General features: G+C 43.7%; 1 long non-coding RNA gene across 1 annotated transcript; it reads left to right on the top strand.

Annotated features, from left to right (window-relative positions):
• Positions 1 to 16,430: 16,430 nt before the first annotated feature.
• LOC105378929 (uncharacterized) lies at positions 16,431 to 22,801 on the top strand. The gene is made up of 3 exons (XR_947744.3): positions 16,431 to 17,432; positions 20,337 to 20,951; positions 21,438 to 22,801. It is a non-coding gene; the product is annotated as an uncharacterized LOC105378929 (long non-coding RNA).
• The last annotated feature ends 664 nt before the right edge of the window (positions 22,802 to 23,465 follow it).

Below are 23,465 nucleotides of genomic sequence, written 5' to 3'. Positions count from 1 at the left end.
TTCCCCCTTCGCTTGATACTTCTCCTTGTTGCTGCCTTGTGAAGAAGGTGCCTTGCTTCCCCTTCATCTTCTGCCATGTTTGTAAGTTTCCTGAGGTCTTCCCAGCCATGCAGAACTGTGAGTCAATTAAACCTCTTTCTTTTATAAACTACCCAGTCTTGAACAGTTTTTTATAGCAGTATGAAAATGGACGAATACAGAAGGAATTTAATGCAGGGAATTAATTATACACATGATGGAAGGAGCTGAAAAGCCAACCAAATGGAATTTGCAATAGCAGATGCCCTCCCACTTCTAACCAGCGGGGAACAAAAGGAGGAGGTGATATCACTGCAGTTGAAAGGTTGAAGTCATCAAGTGGAAGCTGGAACCATGTTGATGTGACTAGAAGAAGCTGAAACTAAGAAAAGAGGTAACCAGTGTGGGAGACTCCACCAGAGGCAGAGTAGAATGGGACAAAAACAATCAAACAAAAACTTAAAAACCTGGCTTATCCCCTCCCCTAGTCTCCAGCCTCTTGCTGTTACCTCCCGATTCCTGAATCTACCAGAAGCCAGCTGACATTGGAGCCTCGGAAGCATGCCCTGCAAGGGCCAGCCTCAGGAGGATAATGCCTAGAAGGGGAAGGTTACAGAGTGATCTAGGGGCAGAAGGCCCAGGACTAGTACCCTATCTGACCCAGACCCTTTCTCTGGAGTTAGTAATTGGTTTTTCTTCTAATTCTTGAGTCAGTTTTGGTTATCTCTATTTTCCAAGAAAATCATCTATTTTACTGAGGTTTTTAAATTAGTGTAAAATTATATTTTATCATGTAAAATCTCCGTGTTTATAGTTAATTTCTTCTTCTTATTCTAATTTTGTGTATGCATAAGCTTAAATATTTTTCTGCATTTGTGACAATTGCCTAGGGACAGGCAATTTTATTTAACATGTTCCTCTGACCCTTGTCCATTCTTTGATTAATAAATAGGTCTAGAAGCTGATCCAATTCAGGATCAGTTATTTTGGCATAAGTCCTTCACAGGCAGTATGTACTTCCATCAGGGGCCATGTAAACATAAATGTCCTTTTTGATGTTAATAGCTATTGTTGACTATTGCCTAGATACATTAGGAGTTGCAAATGCTGAAAAACTAATTTTATCATTCTTTATTTGTTTATCAACTGGAACAATTCTTTAAAGAGAAGCTATCCCTCATCACTATTTGATCACTCTTAACTGTCTGTTGACTTGCATTTTTACCCTTTTATTTTTACTTTTCCTTTATACCTGACTTCCTTTACCAAAATAATAATCTTTTCTCTAAAGGTACAGACCCCAGAATTTTTGCAGAGATGCTTATGTAATTTTTAATTTAATTTTTTTGGTAAACAATACAAAATTCAAAAGGTTTAAAAGGGCATAGCATAAAAAGTAATCATTTTCCCCCTACCTCCAGCCACTCAGTTCTCTCTTTGGAGGCAACCACTGTTACAAATTTCTTATGGTAGTTTCCAGAGATATCAAAACTATATATTCAAATGATAAAGCAAATGGGTTAAAATGACAATAATGAGTGAATCTGGGTAACAGGTGTATAAGTGTTCTTTATATTGTTTTATTTGTACAACTTTTGTAAGTTTTAAAGTATTTCTAAGTAAACAGTAATATGCACATTAAATAATATATATTATATATATACTTTTTGTTTAGTAACTCAAATGATACTAACTGTACACGCCGTCCTGCCCCTTGCTTTTCTCATTAAACCATATTATCTTGAAGATCTGTCCATTAGAACATATAGAGATGGCCTCATTCTTTTTAAAGATTGCTATCATTGCATGTATGGGGATATGATATAATTTATTTTAAAAACAGACATTTAAGTTGTTTTAAATCTGTGGCTACTACAAACAGTGCTGCAGTGAATGCCTGCATACACAGTCATTTCTCATGTGTGGGAGTGTGTCTGTAGAATCAATACCTAGAAGCTCAACTGCCACATCAAAGAAAGGGTATGTGAACTTTTAAGTTTAATAGTAATCACCAAATTAACCTCTCTAGGGAATATTCTAAGCCAGCTGACTCAGGAGCCCAGGAAGCACACCTTGCAAGGGCCAGCCTCTGGAAGATTTTTTTTTTTTTTAAGACAGTGTCTTGCTCTGTCGCCCAGGCTGGAGTGCAGTGGTGCGATTTCAGCTCACTGCAGCCTCTGCTTCCTGGGTTCAAGCAATTCTCCTGCCTCAGTCTCCCAATTAGTGGGGATTACAGGTGCCTGCCACCAAGCAAGGCCAATTTTTGTATTTTTAGCAAAGATAGGGTTTCACCATGTTAGCCAGGCTGGTCTCAAACTGCTGGCCTCAAATGATCCACCCACCTTGGCCTCCCAAAGTGCTGGGATTACAGGCTTGAGACACCACGCCCGGCCTTGGAGGATAATTTTTTAAAGTGCTGGCTTCCTCAAACTCTGAGCTACACAGTGAATTTTAGAACTCTTTGGTCATTTCCAATCTGATAGTTGAAAACATCAAATTTCTTTGTAGTTGTAATTTTTTACATTGCTCTTTTGTTTAAGAGTTGTCATCTTTTCTGTGAACTACCTGCTTATATTCTTCACCTTCTCTGTTGCACTACTGGCACTTTTTTTTTTTTTTTTGATGGAGTCTCACTCTGTTGCCCAGGTTGGAGTGCAGTGGCACGATCTCTGCTCACTGCAAGCTCTACTGGCTTTTTTATAGATGATTTGTAGGAGGCCTTTATATATTAAAGTTAGCCTCTTGTCTGATGTATTATAACATTTTTTAGCTGGAAATAACCCTACAATAATCTAGTTCAGCACTATCATGTTCCAAGCTTTAAAATTGACTTAAGGCTGTTAAATGACTTACAAATGTTAGAACACAGCCCAGGATTTTTGACTTTTAGTTTAATAATTTTTGCAATGTACCATGCCAGCTCTAAAGAAGAAAGAACCAATACCCATCCTCTCAAAACATGTAAGCATTGAGATTTCAAGATTTTGCCCCTCAGTGTCCCCATTTATCCTTGCCAATCCACTTAGGGACACAGCTCCCAACTTAATGTATACTTTCTGGATTCACCAGACATCAGTCTTCATCAAATGTCTTCCACCCCATGAACAAAACGACTTCTTGACTTTTCCTACAATTTCTCATTCTTGAGTCAGTTCTTCAACCTGGACTTACTGAGCTCCTGTTAAATGAAGATTCCTGCATTGGGCTTGATAAGAAGATACAAAAGAAATGGAAAATTCATTCCCTGCCTTACCGAACAGTCCATTTGAGAAAACAAAGCAAACACCAAATTTATTTGAAAATGAGCTCATAATTACTTGCTAATGCTCAAGGCAAACAAATCAAACAGGTGATTAAATGGATTTGTATTAATCAAAAAAGGATCCCTGCAAGTGTTTACTGTAGATTTAGAAAGAAGCAATGTATATGGATTATAACAATATCAGCTAACACATTCGGTACTGTCAAGTCCTCAGCATCACAGACATCATCTCTTTTAATCTGAATGTTGGTACTTTTTTCTTTTCCTCATTTTACACATGCATAAACTGTAGAATAATAGACTAAATGACTTGTTCAGACAGCCTGGAAAGGGCCCAGGGCTTCTCTCTCCAGGACGTCTGGTCTATCCACTATGGCATGCTGCTTCAGTTTGGCAAAGAAATAGACAGAAATGGGGCCGGGGTTTGGGTGGAATGAATTAGTAGAGAGTCAGATTTGACCTCCGTTAAGAAACCCTGTAGTAAAGTGAGAAGACTATAATTTTGGATTCAGACTAGATTTGAGTATGTCTTGCTACTTATAAATTGTGACCCTGGCAGGTTACTTATCGTCTGAATCTCAATTTTCTCAAATGCAAAACACAGTTAATAGTATCTACTCCTCTTTAGAGTTATCTGACATATAGTAGGTGTCTGATAAATGGCAGCTATCTTAGCAAATATTGGGCTAGAATGAGAAATAGATTGTTTTTTTTTTCTTTCATATGTTGTTGATTGACTTGGTTGCTGCAAAGAGAGTAAAGGACAAAAGTCACACAAACCCCAAAAAGGTTTAGAGTACTAGGGGAAAGCACCATGATTATTTCCTCAAACTCTTAACTTCTCTTCTTCCCCACTGTCCTAGCAGGAAGGTTTTTATAGGTGTAAGGAAGAACTTCCAGAGAAGAGTTGAGAAACTCTTGCTCTCAAAAGGCCAGATTGCTCAGGATTCAGTCCTACTTAGTATAGCAAATGAGATGAAGTGCATACAAAGTGCACTGCAATTGTTAAGGTAAGTTCCGGACTTGATGAGAGAGTGGGCTCAACATAGCTGTTGCCACTTTCCAGCTGTGTATTTTTAAACAAATAAGCTCATGGCCTTGCTCCAGAGACACCTGCAAAGTGGGCTAGTAATTCCTACCTCATGGGATTTCCAATGATCAAATTAGATAATTCAGTGAACAAACACTTATAGGATACTCACTGTGATGGTTAATTTTATGTCAACTTGGAGAGTGTTTTTGGATGAGATTAACGTTTAAATCAGTGAACTCTGAGGAAACAGACCCTCCAGATGTAGGTGAGTCTCATCCAATCAGCAGACTGCCATCGGGTCTCTGCCTCCTGTCCACTCTCCTGGGACTCCAGCATGCTGCAGATTTTTGACTTGCCATCCTCCATAACTGCATGAACCAATTCCTATCATATATTTCTTTCCATATGCTCAGCCCTCCATATCCATGGGTTTCACATCTGTGAATTCAACCATGGATCAAAAATATTTGAAAAAAAGTGCATCTATACTGAACATGTGGAGACTTTTGGTCATTATTTTCTAAACAATACAGTATAACAACTATTTGCATAGCATTTCCATTGTATTAGGTATTACAAGTAATGCCATATCTAGAGGTGATTTAAAGTATATGGGAGAATATGTATAGGTTATATGCAAATACTATGCCATTTTATGTCAGGGACTTGAATAGCTGCAGATTTTCATTTCTGAGGGAGGTTCTAGAACCAAACCCCCATGGATACCGAGGGATGACTATATATATGTGTGTGTGTGTGTGTGTGTGTGTGTGTGTATATATATATATATATGTGTATATGTGTATATATACATATGTGTGTATATATATGTGTATATATACATATGTGTGTATATATATGTATATGTATACACACACACATACACAGTGGAGGCTATACTCCTATTGGTTCTGTTTCTCTGGAGAACCTTCACTAATACACTTACTAGGAGTCAGGCACTGTTCTAGGCCCTGGAGATGCACTGAAAGAGACAGACAAGGTCTCTCAGGGAACAGATATTTTTGTGGAGAGGGAGTCAAACAATAAATAAGCAAATAAGGCAATATCAGGTAGTGATATGAATAAAATAAGATGAGGTACTAATAGTGAGTGGGGAAGCTTCTTTGGATTGGGTGGGCTTGGATGAAGCATATTAAAGACAGGGAATTGTAATGGTTTTTAGGAACAAGCTCAACAGCTTCCAGCTTGAGCACCTGCAGCTTCTCCAGGTACAAGGTGCTTGAACAGAGAGGAAGACAGTGTGCCTGGGAACAGCACAGGTGAGAGAAAGTGTGATAGGAGATGAGGGAGGTAATGTTGCAAGGGCTACATCAGATAGGCCTAGTATTCTTGTGTTAAAGAATTTACATTTGTATTCTAAGTGCAATTGAAACCACTGAAGGATTTGGTGTCATGCTCTCTTCTCTTTCTCTCTCTGAGATAGATAGACAGATATTGTGTTAAGTTGTTCCTGCGTTATTATAAAGAACTACCTGAGATTGGGTAATTTGTAAAGAAAAGTTTAATTCATTTAACTTTCTTTTAATTAAACTTCTTTTAATCATGCTGGCTCATGGTTCTACAGGCTGAACAAGCATAGGATCAGCATCTGCTCAGCTTGTGGGGAGGCCTCAGGGACCTTTTACTCATGGCAGAAGGCAAAGCAGGAGCTTGTATGTCACATGGTGAAAATAAGAGGAAGGGGGAGGTGCCACAAACTTTTAAACAACCAGATCTTGCGAGTACTCACTATTGTGAGGACAGCACCAAACCATGAGGGATGTGCCCCCATGATCCAGTCACCTCCCACCAGGCATTACCATTCAGGACATAGGCATGGGCAAGGACTTCATGTCTAAAACACCAAAAGCATTGGCAACAAAAGCCAAAATTGACAAATGGGATCTAATTAAACTAAAGAGCTTCTGCACAGCAAAAGAAACTACCATCAGAGTGAACAGGCAACCTACAGAATGGGAGAAAAGTTTTGCAATCTACTCATCTGACAAAGGGCTAATATCCAGAATCTACAATGAACTCAAATCAATTTACAAGAAAAAAACAACCCCATCAAAAAGTGGGCAAAGGATATGAACAGACACTTCTCAAGAGAAGACATTTATGCAGCCAAAAGACACATGAAAAAATGCTCATCATCACTGGCCATCAGAGAAATGCAAATCAAAACCACAATGAGATACCATCTCACACCAGTTAGAATGGCAATCATTAAAAAGTCAGGAAACAACAGGTGCTGGAGAGGATGTGGAGAAATAGGAACACTTTTACACTGTTGGTGGGACTGTAAACTAGTTCAACCATCGCAGAAGTCAGTGTGGCAATTCCTTAGGGATCTAGAACTAGAAATACCATTTGACCCAGCCATCCCATTACTGGGTATATACCCAAAGGATTATAAATCATGCTGCTATAAAGACATATGCACACGTATGTTTATTGTGGCACTATTCACAATAGCAAAGACTTGGAACCAACCCAAATGTCCAACAATGATAGACTGGATTAAGAAAATGTGGCACATGTACACCATAGAATACTATGCAGCCATAAAAAATGAAGAGTTCATGTCCTTTGTAGGGACATGGATGAAGCTGGAAACCATCATTCTCAGCAAACTATCACAAGGACAAAAAACCAAATACCGCATGTTCTCACTCATAGGTGGGAATTGAACAATGAGAACATATGGACACAGGAAGGGGAACATCACACACCGGGGCCTGTTGTGGGGTGGGGGGAGGGGGAAGGGATAGCATTTGGAGATTTGGAGATATACCTAATGTTAAATGACAAGTTACTGGGTACAGCACACCAACATGGCACATGTATACATATGTAACTAACCTGCACGTTGTGCACATGTACCCTAAAACTTAAAGTATAATAAAAAAAAAAAAGAAAATATTTCTAACAAGTAGTCACTCCATAACCTGCTTGGATTTTTCCCCTATAAAAGCCTTTTCTTTCTTTGCTATGGGCTAGGCTGCAAATTTTCCAAATTTTTATGCTCTGCTTCTCTTTTAAGTATCAATTCCAACTTTAGATCATTTCTTTGTTCCTGCATCTGAGTTAGGTTGTTAAAAGCAGCCACACCACATCTTGAATGCTTTGCTGCTTAGAGATTTCTTCCACCAGATACCCTAAATCATTACTCTTAAGTTCACATTTCCACAGATCCCCAGGGCATGAACAAAGTACAGCTGAGTTCTTTGCTAAGGCATAACAAAGGTGACTTTTGCTCCAGTTCTCAGTAAGTTCCTCATTTCCATCTGAGACCTTGTCAGCCTGGACTTCACTGTCCATATCACTATCAGCAATTTGGTCACAACCATTTAACCAGTCTCAAAGATGTTCCAAACTTTCCCTCATCTTCCTGTCTTCTTTTGAGCGTCCACACTCTTCCAACCTCTGCCCATTGCCCAGTTCCAAAGGTGCTTCCATATTATCAGTTATCTTTATAGCAAGACCCCACTCCTGGTACAAATTTTCTATGTTAGGCTGTTCTTACATTGCTATAAAAAATACCTGTGACTGGGCATGGTGGCTCACACCTGAAATCCCAGCACTTTGGGAGGCCAAGGCAGGCGGTCACCTGAGGTCAGGAGTTCGAGACCAGTTTGGCCAACGTGGTGAAACCTCATCTCTACTAAAAATACAAAAAGTAGCTGGGTGTGGTGGCACATGCCCATAATCCCAGCTATTCAGGAGGCTGAGGCAGGAGAATCACTTGAACCCAGAAGGTGGAGGTTGCAGTGAGTTGAGATCATGCCACTGCACTCCAGCCTGGGTGACAGAGTGAGACTCCATCTCAAAACAAACAAACAAAAAGAAATACCTGAGACGGGTACAAGGCAAAATGAACTCTACGTAAAAAGAGAAAAACAACCAACCCCTGAGACTGGGTAATGTATAAAGAAAAGAGGTTTCATTTGGCTTACAGTTCCACTTTATAGGAAGCATGGTGCTGGTTTCTGCTCAGCTTCTGGGGAGGCTTCAGTGAGCTCTTACTCATGGCAGAAGGCAAAGTGGAAACCCACACGTTACATGGCAAAAGCAGAAGCAAGGGGAAGGGAGGAGGTGACACACACTTTTAAAAAATCAAATCTCACAAGTACTCACTATTGTGAGGACAGCACCAAGGCATGAGGGATCTGCCCCCATGATCCAATTACCTCCCACTAGGCCCCCCTTCCAACATTGGAGATTATATTTCAACATGTAATTTAGACTATAGGTAGGACAAATAACTAAACCATTTCAGACATAGATATCTTAAATTGAAGTGAAATTTACATAACATAAAATTAACCATTTTGACGTAAACATTTTCAGTGACATTTAGTGCATTCATAATGTTGTGCAACTGCCACTGATTTATATTTTGAAAACATCCTTCTGGTTGCTATGTGGAAAAGGGATAGTGGGGTGGTCCTATGGTCTGAATGTCTGTGTCCCCCCAAAGTTCATATGAAAATCTTAACGTCCAATGTGATGGTGTTAGGATGGAGAGCCTTTGGGAGGTGATTAGGTCAGGAACCCTGATGAATGGAATTTGTACCCTTATAAAAGAGGCTCCAGAGGACTGCCTTCCTCTCTCATTTTTTATTTCTTTTTTAATAAAGATGAGGTGTCATCATATTACCCAGGCTGATCTGGACCTTCTGGGTTCAAGTGATCCTCCCACATCAGCATCCCAAAGTGCTGGGATTGCAGGTGTGAGCCACCATGTCCAGCTTGCCTTGTTCTTTCACCATGTAAGGACACAGACAGAAGGTGCTCTCTGTGAACCAGGAAATGGGGCACTGTTTCTGCTGGCATCTTAATCTTGGACTTCCCAGCCTTCAGAACTGTAAGAAACAAATTTCTGCTATTTATAAGCCACCCAGTATATGGTGTTTTGTTTTAGTAGCCTAAGTGGACTAAGACAGTGGGGGAGCCAGGGAACAAGAGAAGAAACATGTCTGGAGGCCAGCGCTGTGTCCAGGCAAGAGATTATGGTGGCTAGGGTATAGCAGAAAGGATGAAGAGAAATGGCAGATCTATAGGGCATATTTTTTAGGAAAAGTCAACAGGGCTTTCTAACAGATTCAATGGACCATGTAAGAAAAATATGATATATATGAAAGTACTCTGTAAACTTCATACACTTGAAATGTTAACATCATTATGAAGAACAGGGCTTCATGATCATTAAAGAGAAAGAGCTTGACTGGATGGTCTCTCAAGATCCCTCTGAGTCCTGAAATCCTCTGATGCTTTAAAGGTGGGTAAACTGCCTTTGGTACAAAGGGGAAGAATTATTTAAAGATTTTCTTGATCCCATGCAGTGTCCAAGTGCTTTCAGAGGACAGTCCAGGGCATCATCCAACCACACACTCAGTGAGAACAGGCAAAGCCTGCCTTCCTCCAGCCAGCAGGACTACGTCATGGCCTGGAGGCGAGCATGGGAACTGGCAGGCCTGGGCTCAGCATCCCAGACACTACACTCCTAAGAGGGAAGTGCCCTGACGCCTGGGCTCTCAGACCTCAGCGATGTCCAGTAAAAACACACTGGGTGGTGAGGCCTGGGGCCAGAGAAGGGAAAGTGCTTCCAGCAGTGCAGCCCTGTGTGGATGACTTTTGCTGGCAGTGAGCATGCCTTAAAGGCTATAGCACAGCTCCCAGAGTCCCCAGGGGCTGGAGGCTGAGATCTTTCACACAAGTGAGGCTCATATCAGACCCTGTCAGTATCCAGATCATGTTCAGGTGGCAAGGGTCTTCAAGAAAGACACTCTCCAAAAGACACTTTTTTTCCTCCCTCCTTTCTTCTGCTTTGAAGAGTGTGCCGTTAATCAAAATCTATGTGGTTTATAATCTTCACAACCTCCTCTGGAAAAACTGACCTCTTTTTCATATAAGATTTAGCTTTAGATAGTTAGGTTTCAACTGGGCTGGGAAAACTTTTCTTAACAGAGAGTTTCTCCCTAAGCAAATAAAGAAGCTGAATTAACTGTTTAAAGTTCCTGAGTAATAATACCACTGCTATTATAACTTGTGAAATGGTCCTTCTTCCATCAGAGAGAACAAACAGCTCTTAGACACCACCAGAACGATGGTTTTCAAAGTGTGGACCCCAGACTAACAGCACTGCCATCTGCGTCTCCTAGCACCTGTTAGAGATACAAATTCTAGGGCAGCATTCCTGACCTACTGAATGATAAACTCTGAAGGTGGGGCACAGAAATCTGTGTTTTAAAATGCCTTTAAAGAGGTTTTGATATACACTCAAGTTTGAGAACCACTGCATTAGAGAAACAGAGAAATGTGGAGCCACAGAAAGTCTGAGTAGAGGAATTAGGTATGCACCTGATCACATGATGGATGGAGAAAGGAAGGCCACAGAGAGAGAAGGTGACTTGTCCTAGAAGACACAGAGGACAGGTCACCTTTTGGTCTCTGGGTTCTCCCTCCCTTCCCAAAGGAAGACTCAGATTTTTCTTTTGAATTATATTTTTCCCAGAAGTTTTAGCTGTTCACTTTCCCATTAACTTTTAACAATTTACTCCATGTGTTTACATAAATCTGGTCATTTTATAGTGTAGAAAGTATATGACACTGAAATGCTCAAGAGATCTCAAAGAGAATGTGGCTTAGGTTGGGTTCCCTGAAAGCAGACTTGGTGACAGAGACTAGCATGCAGAAGGTTTATTGGGTATGTTTCCAGAGATGCACTTACAAGGATAGGTGGGGGAGAAATTGACCCTTCATATGTTGTAACTGAGGCCTTACCAATGCTACAGGGAGTGCTGGAGCTGAGATGAGCCTTCAGAATTGTCTCCTACTAAAGCCAAGGGCCCAACCATTGTATCTCTGCATCAGGCAGTCATTGGCTATTGAGCCATGCCTGGGAGGGGCCTTAGTCTGGAGCCAGATAGTTCTCTGCCAAGGTCATTGCCTAGGAAGGGACACAGCTGTGAGCCATCAGCAGCTGGAGGCTTGTGCCTCAGCCCTGAAGTGGGGATCTGGACACAATATGAAAGTATTGTCCACAGAAGGCATTCCAGATTTGGGATGGTTGGGGCAGGGTCAGAAAAAATCACCTGCTGAAAGTAGAGACAGAAAACCCCAAGACACGATATCAAAAGAATCTGATCCTAAGAGAAAATGTGTTGCTCATAAGACTAAAATATTTATCATCTCTGCTAAATGCTCCAAAATCTAGTAAAGAAGATGATGGTATGTGCCAGAGCTTTCCAACAGATCTGTCAGGGCCAACTGATGAGCAACAATGAGTCACAGATGTGTGGGGATTTTTACTTCCTGTAGATCTCAGGGTGGCAGAACAGGACCTGGGATGGCTAGAATCCTTCTGTCAATTCATACACATATTGTTGCATGAGTGCATTATTTACAAAAAATTAGAAAGCCCTAGCTTATAAAAGAAGTTGTCATCTACCCAATTGTGCCCTATTATATCTGGCATCACAGATGGTCTGCATAAATACTCTCTAAACTGGTGGGTGACCTCAAGCACTGTGCCAGGGTGAGAGCCCTCAAATTCTGAGAACCAGTACTTTTTATTCAGAAACGTCTCCAGAGCGCAGAAAGGCAGTGAATCCAGCTACTCTAGAATGATGAAATAGCCTTATAAACAAGAACACTCTTGAAACTTTGCTCTGCTTTTGTCTACATCAAGAAAATCTCCTTTATATTTCAGCATCCCAAGTAAGATTATTTATCCTCAGGGGCACTCTCAGAAAAGGTTGGGCACTTATGATCCTACCTGATACCCTCATTGATAAGTCTGTATTCATTTGTCAATCAGGCTCTTACTTAGAGAATCAGCTCCCCATAGCCTTCTTATCTCTGAGGAACTTAAGGAATTAAGTTCCCAACCCAGCAAACCTGAGGGCCAACTCCTGGCTCATGGTGACCTTAGGCAATTTACTTTCCCGGCAGCATCATTTAATGATTTCCCTAAAGGAAACATCTCACACAGAAGGGACTAGCCATGGGGAGACCACTGTTTTGCCACTGGGTACCTGAAAACTTCATCTGTCCAGATCTGAGCAGGATAAAAAGGAGTTTGGAGTCAGACATCTGGTCAGTGAGGCTTTTGCTGGCTCCCTGTGAGAATAGCTGAATCCCTGTGGCACCAACACTTAGGTAGCATGCTCTGCAATCACTGGTCCTGGGGACAGACTAAGGGAAACGCTGAAAGCATACTCAGAGGGTCAGTTCAGATGGGAAAAGTAGCTTTCCTAAGGTTGTAGGGGACAAAGGCTGCTTCCCACAGAGCCTGCCTCAGGGGTTTGGAACCGGCCAGGGCAACAGGCCAGGTATTTCAAGCCTGTTGCAAGACCATCTGGGGAGACTGGATGGAGTTGGGATTTTGTTCCTGCACCCCATCTTCCCATTCTATCTCTCATCATTTTGTAGGGAAGAAACACTAGGTCTTCCCTGTGTGGTTGTGAGCTTTGACCCAAACCCTTGAGCTACCTGGCCCCAGAGCTGCCCCAGGATTAGATCTTAGGTGTATTTCAAACTGTTTTTGTCTTCCCACTGGGCTATGGGAAACATGGCCCTCTTGATTTACTTTCTGAGGAGAAAACTGAGAAGTAGTAGCGGACTGAATACCTAGCATCTCTACCAGAGGTTCCCACTTAGTGGCAGGAGAATTCCCCATGTACCTAACACGCATACAACAGTTTCATTCTGTAACACTAGAGAAAGGTGTGCTGGCCTCCTCTCATGTGATACCATGGGGTTTTCTCTGACAGAGCTCTGGGAAAGTCTGACCAATGTTTTACCTGACCTGCTGGACCAAGGCCACTGAACTGAGGGAAAAAGAAGTGGAAAGGGGAGAGAGCCAGATCTAACTATCGAAATTTAGCCTGAGTGCCTGTCTCCAAGGAAGGATTCTACTGGGACTGTTCAGCCAACTTCAGGGAGAGAGGTGTTGTCCCTATCTGGAGTCAGCCAGAGCCCACTCCCTAGTGCCTTGGAGCAGCCAACTGAACTCTGGTATTTGCTCTCACTGTGCTTTTATACTTTGCCAATCGGTTCCACCCTAGTCCTGCTGGGAGACAGAGCAGCCACTGCCAAAGACTTTGTCTTTCTTAACCACAGTCCCCATAGCATCCAAGGACCTCTGGCTCTGAGGTCCCACCAAATCCCTGGCTTCCCTGGGACAATGCCAGAGGAATGCTATCACTGACTTTGACACTGACATCACCACAAGTTGTTGCTCTCAGTTAAGGCAAAACTAGCTTCTATAACAATCTTCCATCTCTCAGTAGCATAAACACAGTAGATTTGTTTCTTGCTCATGTTAATCCCAATCAGGTACTCAATGGGTTGCCTCTCATGTGATAATTTGTGGACCGTGGGCCCAAACTCCTCCTGGTTGGAGGCCTAGCTATTTTCTTGAGTCTTGGGGTCCTTTGCCTTTAGCTGGAAGACAAGAAGAGAGAAGGTAGAGGAGACATACCCACTTCTTAATCAGTTTGGTCTGGAGGTGACACTCATCATTTCTGCTTACCTCCCTGAGATGGGGACTAGTCTACTTAGTCCATGTGGCTCTACCCAGACACAAGGGGAGTTAAAGAGTGTAGCTCCTGGCCAGAGCACCCTCTGCAAGACCTCATTATGAGAATGGAGCACAGACCTCAGAGCACAGAGAAGTGATGCCTGGCAGTGGCAAACCAAAGAAACTGAGGAAATGGGATACATTACTGGGTGTGAGTGTGAGAAAAGACATGGAACTATAGGGAAGCTAGAGTTACAAAAGCTCCAAGAGAAGGAACAAAGATGAGGAGAGCCACCTAAGTTGGAGCTCTGGAAGAAGGAGAAAAGGTTGGAGCAGCTGCTATAAGATGTGAGACTTTAGAAAGAGACTACATACAATTATTGCTAACTGTTGTATGGTATGATTTCTCCCCTGTCAAGCTCCAGTGAAGGTTTTGGGGTATGAAAGGACAGAGGACAACCTAGGGTTATTGAATTTAAATAGTTTAAAATCAATAGCTATTTTAAAATTAGATAGTGGTGGTGGTTGAACACCTTTGTGAATATACTAAAAGCTACTAAATTATACATTTTAAAGGATGAATTTTATGGTATGTGGATTATATATGAATAAAAAATCGTATGAGAAAATGATAGCTACCATTTCTGGATGCTTCTTTTGTGCCAGGTACTTTACACATTTTGATAATCTCAAATTCTTAGTTTAACTGAAAGGTAGGTATGAATGTCTCTGTTTTATAGATGAAGAAACTGAGATTCACTGAGGTTAAATGACCCAATGTCACACAAATGGTAGAGCCAGAATTCACACCCAACTCTGCCTGGCTCTGAAGCTGGCTGGCATTCTCTCCACTGCCCCTTGTGGCTCCCCAACAATAATCACTGTCTGTATTGAGCACCAGATACTGAGCACTTTGACTATAAAACTCAAATTCCCTCAGCAATCCTGGGAAGTTAACAATATTCTTGACTTTATAAATGAGGTTACCAATGCTTGGAATTGTCAATAATTGCCACAAACTCAGCTACTAAGTGGCAATGCCAGTAGCTGATTTCAAATCCTTTCTGATTTCAAAGCCCTTCAACACGCTTTCTTTTGGGAGTCCATCAGCACTCCTCTATTTACAGTGGCAAACACATTTCTCTCTATCTTCTTAACAAACCTTGCTTTTCACTGCCTGATTCAATTCAGCTCACTTTATGGAGTGCTTTTTAAGTGATAAGTATTAGGCTACGATGGCTAGTCATTGCTTCTTCACTAGTTGAGGTCCATCTCCTTTTTCAAAGTTGGATTCAAAGGTCCTTTCTCTATGAAGTTTTTTCTACCCAACTGTGTTCACATTTATTCCTTAAACAGGAAGATGATTGATTTGATTATACCTATGCTACTCAAAGTGTAGTTTTTGAATGAGTCTAGTCTGAGATGGTTGTTGTCAGTTCATGCAAGATAAGTAAAGAAATGGAGTGTAAGTATTTAGAAACTATCATAGCAATTTAATATTGCTATAATATCCAACTGCATAATCAGCAGGCTCATATTTTGTCTTTTTCATTTTTCTAGTAATTTATTTTTATTGTATTTTACAAAAGAATCAGTCTGCCACAGATTGGAAATTCTTTTAAAAAACAATCCTGTACCACAAATAATTTGAGAAACACTGATCTACAAATGGCAAATATAGGCCAAGTCTGGCCCACCACTTAATTTTGCAAATAAAATGTTATTAAAACACAGTCACAGCCACTTATTTACATATGGTGTATGATTGCTTCCATGCTATAATGGCAGCATTGAGTAGTTGTGACAGAGACCACATAGCCCACAAAGTCTAAAATATTTGTTTTCTGGACCTTTAAGGAAAAGGTTTACTGACATCTGATCTAGACCACTTGTTCTCAATCATGATTACACTTCAGGAATTCCTGGGAGACATTTTAAAAATACCGATGGCTGGGTTCTGTTCCCGGGGATTCTGATTTCATTGGTTTATGGTGCAGCCAGTGCAGGTCATTTTAATGTTCAGCAAAGTTTTAAACCACTGATTTAGATCAGTAACTTTCAACTTTGGCCTGGAATCAGAATCACTGAGGATGCCAGGGATTCACTCTCAACCTACTGTATCAGAATTCTGGGAAGTGGGGCCCAGGCATGCTTGAATGTGTTTTTGTTAAGTAAATCCTCTGCAGGTAATTGAGATGTTTAATAGGGATTGAGAGACACTGGTATCAACCCAAGAGCAATGATTTTTAAAACTGTTACATATATCTAAATTACATGAAGAGGGTGCTAAGAATACAGACTACCAAGCCCCACATCGAGTGAGTCTAATTCAGCAGGTCTCAGAGAGATGTGACCCAGGAATGTGTATTTTTAGCAAGCTGTAAGAAACATGGCTGTGCTGCAGCCAAGCAGGCACAGGCTGAGGTAAACATCCTGCATGACTCAGCAGGATTGGAGTGCAGGCACACATTCTCATGCCTTATATAATCACAGCTATCTAAACATAACATAGAGAAGCTCATGACCTGGCTCTCAGCCACTATTGTTTGTAAGGTGTATAAATGTAACACTGACACTGAGAAAGAGCTGCTAAATAAAGCCATATCTCATCTACCTGCTGTCTCTCGAGTGTTCTTCTAGCTCCCTGCCCCCTATCCACCCACTCCCCTCAGACCTCAGCTGGGGCTCGAACCTGACAATTGGCATAGTCAGCAGGATGAGGTGAGTGGGTCTTCATTCCTTGAGGCTTCCAGGTCAGCTCTGTGGCCACAGCACGGGCTGTGGTACCCAGTGGCAGAGGTGCTGCTTGGATGGGCCCCAGTGGAAACATAGGAGGCAGTGGACTGGTCTCCCACGAGTGTGGAGAAGGCACTGGAGCAGCTGGAAGCACACAGCTTCAAGAAGGAATGCACTTTTGCCGGCAGAGTCGATGGGCATTTCTGACTGCACTGTGTGAAGTATATACTCAGTCCTTGCAGGACACAGTGCAGGTAAGGGATCTTCAGACACAAGCTAAGTGCCTGGGGGCCAAAATGCACAGCTTGTAGTACAGCCTGGGGATGAAGGACTTCCAGGCTCAAGCAGGGTGCTTAGAGGCCCAGATAAACAGCCTGGAACAGGAGTTAGCAACAGCTGTTAGTGCGACCTGAGCCCATCCTCCCAGCCGGACACTCTCATTGGGTCTGATGCCGAGGAGGAGGAGGCTCTTCTGCTGCTGGCTTGCCCCATGATCCATCAGAAGTAGAACGCAAGCAGCCAATGGAGCCCCAGGGGAGAGCCCAGGGACTCCCACAGTGGTGGAACACACCTCTTATAGTGCTTATAACCCCACTGAGTTGTGTGAGTTAGGTAAACGCGCCGGCAGCCCCTCCCTGCCTGGTTACTCCATCTTTGGGACAAAGGAACTGACAACATTCCCTGCTCCACCTCTGATAGAGAAGCTGGCTTCTATCACAACTCACCCCTCCCTTCATTAGTGGCTGCAGCTGTGCCAATGGTCAGCACAGGGACAAGATGACCACACTTTAATTGAGTGGCTAATGGGAGCCACATGGACTGTTTGGAATGATGCCAGAGAAATACCAGAAACTGTGAGTAAATGGCAATCATATACTGATTTGGTGCAGATACTCTAGGAGATGGGTATGCAGCAGGCTGTGTTTGATCTGAATACCTGGGGGCCAGATGATAAATGCTTTGCCTCCCACATGAGGGATCTGGTGCTGGGCTCAGCATCCCCAAACTCTTTTGGCTCTCTGGCCTCTGTTCTCACCCTATATGTGGGGCACCGTATACATGAAGTGACTACCGCTATGGCAGCCCTTGGGGAGGCAGAAGGCCATTGGCAGGACCAGGGACTCCATGCCATAAAGAAGGGAAAGTCCATGCTGTAAAGAAGGTCCACAGGTAACTATCCAAGGATATAACAAGGGGCCCAGTGGGTGACCCACAAGCCAATGTGGTTTGATTTACTTTCAGCTAGGGTTGCTCAAGAGACACTTGACGGGCAACCCAGTGAAATGCTGTTGGCTCTGTGGAGGCAATTTTCCCCAGAGCAACAATTCTGGAAAATGCCCAAGAAGGGGCAAAACAGTTGTTCAACCTAATCCTGTCTAGACACTGCAGCTCAAGGACTATTTGCAGACAGGCGAAGATATGGCACCTTTCTTGTTTGATTAGGGAACTGGCCAAGATGCCTGGCTTTGTGGGAGTTGGGGAGTGGATGACCAGAGGCCACATGTGGAGCTGGCAATCCACTGCTCCCCAACTAATGTACAGAGGGTCTTGGCACTGGTAGATACTGGTGCAGACTGCAGTCTAGTTTTTGGGAACCCGGGTAAGTTTCTGGGCAAAACTGTATTCATTGACAGTTATGGGGGCCAATCAGTAAAGGTGAAACCTGTCTCTGCATCTTGGCATTGGCCGCTTGGATCCCCACCTATACTCTGTGTATGTCTCTCCTATACGTGAATATTTTCTGGGGATGGACATTTTGCATGGTCTGGATTTACACCTCACGGCCAAAGAATTCAGACTCCAAGTTTGCATAGTAAAGCTGGTACTGCGTGGACATACACATCACCAGTCCCAAGCTCTGCCACAACCCTGATGGGTTACCTCCACTCATCAATACCATTTGCCAGGGGGGCATACAGAGATAACTAAGACTACTAAGAAGTTAGATGAGGTGTAAATAGTGCGTAGCATTGATCGCCCCTACAATTCCCTGGTATGGCTAGTCAGAAAGCCTGATGGAACTTGGCAGATGACAGTGGATGATTGGGAACTGAATAAGGTGACACCTCCTCTGCATGCAGCTGTACCCTCCATCATGGATTTGACAGACCACTTGACAATGGAACTAGGACAGTACCACTTTGTGGTGGACTTAGCTAATGCATTCTTCTTCATTGACATTGCTCCAGAGAGCCAGGAATAGTTTGCCTTCACATGAGAAGGATGACAATGGACTTTTACCATACTGCCGCAGGACTATGTGCATAGCCCCACCATTTGTCGTGGTCTTGTTGCCATGGAATTAGCTGCCTGGAAATGTCCAAAAGGGGTCCTCCTGTTTCATTACATTGATGATATTATGTTAACCTCTGATTCTCTTGCAGATTTAAAAGTGGCAGTGCCCCTCTTGTGGCAACATTTGGCAGCATGTGGTTGGGCCATCAACAAATCCAAGGTCCAATGGCCTGGATTATCTGCGAAATTCTTAGGAGTTATTTGGTTGAGTAAGACAAAGGCCATACCAGAGGCCATCATTGAGAAAATCCAGGCATACCCCCGACCCACCACGATGAAGCAGCTGCAGACTTTTGTAGGCCTCTTGGAGTATTGGCGGCCATTTGTGCCCCATTTGGCTCAAATGATAAAACCATTGTATGGGTTATCAAAAAAAGGGGCTACCTGGGATTGGGATAATGAAGCTGGAACAGACCTTCTGGCCGCCAAGTGGGCCATTCAGCAAACACAGGCCTTACAAGTAATTGATCAGGGGTGCCCATTTGAACTTGATGTACATGTAACCACAGACGGTTTTGGCTGGGTCCTATGGCAGCGCATGGAGTGCTTTAGAACGCCAGTAGGTTTTTGGTCCCAGCTGTGGAAGGGAGCTGAGCTCCAGTACTCATTAATACAGAAGGAATTAGCTGCTGCATATGCTGCTCTTCAGGCTTATGAGACTGTGACGGATTGGGCTACAGTCATCGTGCAGATGAGTTACCCAATAGTCGGGTGGGTACATTCCTGAGTAGTGACCCTCCAGACTGGGACAGCACAGACAACCACTTTAGCGAAGCGGGGTGCCTACTTGGAACAGCAGAGTATGCTGACTACAACTCCCTTAGCAGCAGAGTTACAAGAAGCCTTGGGGCCTATAGTCCTAATGGAAGATAAGGCCATGGGGCCTGAGGCACCCCTAGACCCTGAGCCATCACTGTTAAAGAAAGGGTATCCTCTCGTTCCTGATGGGGCATGGTATACAGATGGGTCCAGCCAGGGTGCTGCTGCTGCCTGGACTGCTGTGGCAATCCAGCCGACACTGACACCATATAGTTTGATACTGGGTGTGGACAAAGCACCCAGTGGGCTGAACTCAGAGTGGTTGAGGATGGTGATTCCCAGAGAGGAGTCACCTATGATACTTTGCACCAATAGCTGGGGAGTCTATTGAGGTTTAACTTTATGGTTGACTACCTGCAAGTTACAGAATTGGCTTGTAGGCCATCAGCCCATTTGGGGACAAACTATGTGGCAAGACCTCTGGGAAACAGGTCATCAGAAAGATGTAACTATCTATCACATGTCAGCCCATATGTCTTTGGTCACTCTGGTAATGATGAGGCAGATGCCTTGGCCAAGGTCAGGTGGTTAGAGTTGGCACCTATATGAGATGTAGCCTTGTGGCTACACAGGAAACTGGGACAAGCGGGGGTTAACTGATGCAACAGGTCAATAGGTGCTGGCATCTGTCTTTGCCCTCACAGGACATTTTGGAGGCCTGCCAGAAGTGCCCAGCATGTGCTCAAGCATACCTGAGACAAAGACAACTGCCCAATGTGACACAACAAGTGACAGTAGGGCAGATGCCCTTGACCAGATGGCAAATAGATTACGCTGAGCCACTGCCAAAATTGCAGGGCTACACATATGCGCTGATGGCTGCAGACATAGCCACCGGCTTGTTGCTCATCTACCCTTGCAGGTTGGCCAACCAGCAACACAGCATTCGAGCCCTGCAACACTTAAGTGCCTTATATGGCCTTCCTCTGGCCATCAAAAGTGATAGGGGAACACATTTTACTGGACATCAAATACGACAGTGAGCACAGCAGATGGACATACAATGGGAGTTCCATGTTCCTTATAACCCACAAGCCGCTGGCATGATTGAGCAATATAACAGACTCCTGAAGAACAGGTTATGTTTGCATGTTACTTCCCCATCCTTGGGGGCTGGAGTTCCAGGTTGGACCTGGTGCTTCAAATCTTGAATAAGTGGCCACAGAAAGGCAGCCCAGCCCCGGTGGAGGCACTGTTACACCAGCCCGCTGCCCCCATCCTGCTACAGATACACACCAAGAATGACCTCCTCCGACCAGGTATGGGGACAAATGGTAATCTGTTGTTGCCTGCTCTGGTGCCCCTGAAGGGAGGGGAACAGAAAACCTGGTGTTGGCCATGGACCCTCCAAGCCCTCCATTACAGATGATTGGCTATTGTAGCCCCCTTAGGGGAGGGCATGCAGTATGACTTACATGTGACTCCTTGGGTATTTAATGTGTGGCCTTCATGATTGACCATTGGTAGGGGAAAAGTAGGGAAGGGACCCTCCTCTGGGGAACATATGTATGGCCTATTATGTGTGGCCTATTATGTCTGTGTGGCCTATTATGATCTCCCCTGTGACTTTAACACAGCTACGAGACCCAAAAGAACCATGGGGAGCTAAGAAGGTGTGGTATCATCAGCCAGGGCAGAAGTCCTTGATGGTTGCATTGTTATCCAGAGATAAAAAGTTGGCCTGTATTTTGCCTGAGTGATGTGATTTACCGCTATAGGTACCGGTTCCTGCTTTGTCATTTCAGCTGTAGGTTGGCATGCTCCAACAACATCATGGACTGGGCCCACACCTACACCGAGTTGACCAATGTCTCCAACTGTTGGATCTGCACCGCCCTTCCAGCAGCAGCTGCAGACAGCTTGCCCTGGCTTGTGCATCCAGCTTCTGTGCAGAACCGGACATTGCTAAAGACTTGGGGTCCCACGGACAATGGGTGGGATGCAACATGGAGGCTTTGGATAGGGGGTGTCACAAAACCCATGGCAAGCTTGCCCCCTGGCTGACTCATAACGTCCATGAGGGCTGGCTAATGGGAGAACACATGGTGCCCCCATTGCAGGTATCACGATGTATAGAGCAACACTGGGGTAAAGTCATTCTGGGATGGCTGCTGGCTGAGGCCTGTGCAAATGTAACACATGCCACACACCTTGCCAAGACCAGGCCCCCATGGACTTTGTAGCCCCTGGGAGTTTATGGGTCTGTGAGAACACAGGATGGCCATATCATGCCAGCCAACTGGACTGGACGTTGTACCTGGGGGTGACCTTATATGCCTGCCACTGTGCTCCCACATTGCCTAGTTGCCCGCATAAGTGGGAGGTGCTGCGTTTCTGCTTTTTGTGAGTGTGGCGGGCCCCCTGGTGGTTCTATCGCTTAGCAATAACTATCCCTGGGGTAAGTGTCATCACTGTAGAAATGTAGGTTACAGCCTTTGCAGAGCACGCAGCTTGGGCCCTAAATTACACCTGAATTGCCCTCCTTTTGCTAACCGATGAAGTTAATCAGATCAGGAAAGTGGTGCTGCCAAACCGGATTGCCTTAGACATAGTTACAGCTGCCTAAGGTAGCATCTGTGCCCTTGTAGGGACGCAATGTTGTACATTCATCCCTGACAACCACCAGAACATAACGACAGCTTTACAAGTGGTGTCACGGGAGATTAAGGTGATTGAGAGCCTTACTGACCACCCCCTGCAGAGATAGTATGCATCTCTGAGCTCTGGTCTAAGTTGGGCTCTCATAATCATAGATAGCATAGCAGGAATGTTAGTAGTAGGTTGTTGCTCTCTGTGTTGTGGCCTATAAGTCCAGGGTGCTTCCCTATGTGCTCAGGTCCCCACTAAGAGGATCCTCTCGGCCTAGGGAGTGGAGCATAGGGAACATGGCTGCACTGCAGCCAAGCAGTCATAGGCCGAGGTAAACATCCTGCATGGCTCAGCGGGATTGGAGCAAAGGTGCACATTCCCATGCCTTATATAATCACAGCTATGTAGATATAACTTAGAGATGCTCATGACCTGGCTCTCGGCCACTACTGTTTGTGAGGTGTATAAATGTAACACTGACACTGTGAAAGAGCTGCTGAATAAAGCCATGTCTCATCTACCTGCTGTCTCGAGAGAGTTCTTCCAGCTTCCTGCCCCCAGTCCACCCACTCCCCTCAGACCTCAGCTGGGGCTTGATCCTGACACAAACCCTGACAAAGTCTTCTGGAGCAGAGGGCAACCTTGGCCCACACTTTGAAAAACACTGCCCTAGTGCAATAGCACTTGGTTTCTGTCCAGGCTCCCACAGAATGATTTAGATTCTGTGACTCATATTTTTCCCTTTGTAAAATGAAGAGAAGATCCCTCCTGAGCTTTACTTTTTCAGGCCTGTCCAAGTCCTGAATATGTTAACACATATGAAAGTGAAGAGTAATGCGTATAGAGAAGCATATGTATGCTCCCTGAAATATAAATAGCTGATAATGTACCTTGTTCTATCTCCAAACAGATTTACATTTATTCCAAAGAATTCTCCAGGGGTAGAATTTGTGCAGCTAGAATAGGCTCAGAGGAGGAAGTCTGGGGTTTGTATGGGACTTTTTCTGCATCCTTTCATTCATGTCCATGTAATAATAATAGGAAGGAGAAGAAAAAGAAACTTACTATCCTAAGCCATTCACACAGATGATTTCCATTTAATTCTCATATTAGTCCTCTAAATTAGATAGTATCAGTCTGCTCACTTTAAAGAGGAGGCAGATACAGATCAGAGGAGTTCAGTA

The sequence above is a fragment of the Homo sapiens genome, chromosome 1 (assembly GCF_000001405.40).
Source record: "Homo sapiens chromosome 1, GRCh38.p14 Primary Assembly".
In the NCBI taxonomy this organism is placed as follows: Eukaryota; Metazoa; Chordata; class Mammalia; order Primates; family Hominidae; genus Homo; species Homo sapiens.
Note: the sequence above shows the minus strand (reverse complement) of the source record. Positions and strands in the feature narration are given on the sequence as shown.